This window comes from Homo sapiens, chromosome X (assembly GCF_000001405.40).
Source record: "Homo sapiens chromosome X, GRCh38.p14 Primary Assembly".
NCBI classification, from domain to species: domain Eukaryota; kingdom Metazoa; phylum Chordata; class Mammalia; order Primates; family Hominidae; genus Homo; species Homo sapiens.
The window spans coordinates 82,892,096-82,894,028 of NC_000023.11; the positions used below are offsets into that span (position 1 = coordinate 82,892,096).

Sequence of the window (1,933 nt, forward strand, 5' to 3'; positions counted from 1 at the left end):
TGCTTCCAATCTGCTCACACTGCCACCAGGAGGAACAGTCTAAAACACAAATCTTTGTTTATTTTCAAAAAGGGAAGATTAGAGCCTTTTGCATGCCTCAGCCACCTGGAAATGGCAAAATAGTGCATAACATCAACTCTGTGTGCTTTAATTCAAGAAGGAAAATGGGAATCCACTGGAATAGAGAAAGACAACTGAGATCCCAGAGAGGAGATCGTGGGCAAAGAGCCCCAATGATGGCATCTGGCTGATAAAAGTAGGTGGAACCCCAGAATATGATAGAAGCAGAGAGTTTCTGGTATAATTTGCAGGTATGTCCCCATTTAAATCTCACGTTGAAACATAGTAACATAATAGCTAATGTTGGAGGTGAGGCCTGGTAGAAGCTGATGGAATCCTGGAGCAGATTTCTCATGAATGATTTAATACTGTCCCCTTGGTACTGTCCTCGTGATATTTGGTGAGTTCTCATGATATCTGGTAATTTAAAAGGACATAGAATCTTTTCCTTTTCTCTTTCGCTTCTGCTCTGGATATGTGCCATCTCTGCTTCCCCTTCACTTTTTATCAGAATTGTAAGTTTCCTCAGGCCTCCCAAGAAGCTGAGCAGATGCCAGCATCATGTTTCCTGTACAGCCATCAGGACTATGAGCCATTTAAATCTGTTTATTTATAAATTACCCAGTTTCCTGCATTTCTTAGTAGCATTGTGAGAATACACTAATACAGCCTCTCTCTGTTACTCACCTTTACACTAGGGGTCTTAGCAAAAGAGGCCAAAATCAAGAACCTTGCTTCTCCTAATCACTGGAGTAAATGTGGGGAGAGCCTTGGAGACACTGAAAGTGAAAAACACTAGGAAAAGCTGCAGGATTTTTGCAACCTGAGATTGACAACAGAATGCTATTTTTAATCCAGGTGAATACAATGTAAGTCATTTTTTGGCAATCCTGCAGTATGGATGTGCAAGCATTTTAGATTTGGGCCAAAGATTGAAGTACTTGCTCTGGAGTGGGGCAGGAGCCTCCATAGCCAGAATTGTGGAAAGCTTCACAGCTGTATGCACTGAAATTGTGCTCTTCCTTGTTTCATGCCTGTGGCAGGAGTAGAGCTGCTGGAGCTGTGGTTTCTCTAGGGTGATGAGTGTTGCAGTCAAGGCCAGATTGCTGACCAGGAATTGGCCTGCATGTGTTATTGCTGGGTGCCCAAGCCTGCTTCCCTGAGATTGTGCACAGCAGGACCTTCTCTACTCCAACAACAGGCAGAACTCTAGGGATGCAGAGCACCCACTTTCCTGGACAAACAGCCTGAGCCACCCCATCCTTCCTTTGCATAAATTATGCTGCAGCAGGGAACTCTCTGCTCCATACACCAGCAGATCTCCAGGCATTTGGACAGAGACCATGGTGACATGTGTTCCACTCTGCTTCATGCCCAGGCAGATCTTCAGGCATTTGAAGTAACTTCTCATCCAGATCAGCAGCCTGATCAGCTCAAATCTTTCTGTGCAGAGATCTGGTGCAGGGAGACCCTCTTTGCTACATGCCCAGACATATCCTCAGTCATTTGGAGCGACTGCTCACCAAGATTGACAGTCTGAGCCACCCAACCAATCCTCAGCAGATTGTGGGGCAGTGAGGCCCCCTCCACTTGACCCCCAAGCATATCTACAATCATTCAGAACACCCACTTGCCTGGAGCAGCAGCCTGAGCCAAACCACCATCCTTGTGCAGAGAATGCAGTGCAGTGTGATCCTCTGCTTTCCATGTCCAGGCAGAGAACCTGTCTCTGAGCTCTGAGATTCTTTGCTCAGCTTGGTCTATTCTGCTGTTAATACTTGCAATTGCATTATAAAAATTTTGTAGTGTGTTTTTCAGCTCTATCTTATCAATTTTATTCTTTCTTCCAATCATTATTTAATATATCAGCTGC

The 1,933-nt window shown here is 44.8% G+C and overlaps 1 annotated feature.

Moving 5' to 3' along the window:
- Positions 370-1,569: an enhancer, noted in NCBI's record as "BRD4-independent group 4 enhancer chrX:82147473-82148672 (GRCh37/hg19 assembly coordinates)". NCBI's record gives its function as "activates an origin of replication core promoter dependent on BRD2, P300/CBP, MED14 and CDK7 cofactors, and independent of BRD4, by STARR-seq in HCT116 cells {active_cell/tissue: HCT116}" and the evidence as "EXISTENCE:reporter gene assay evidence [ECO:0000049][PMID:35650434]".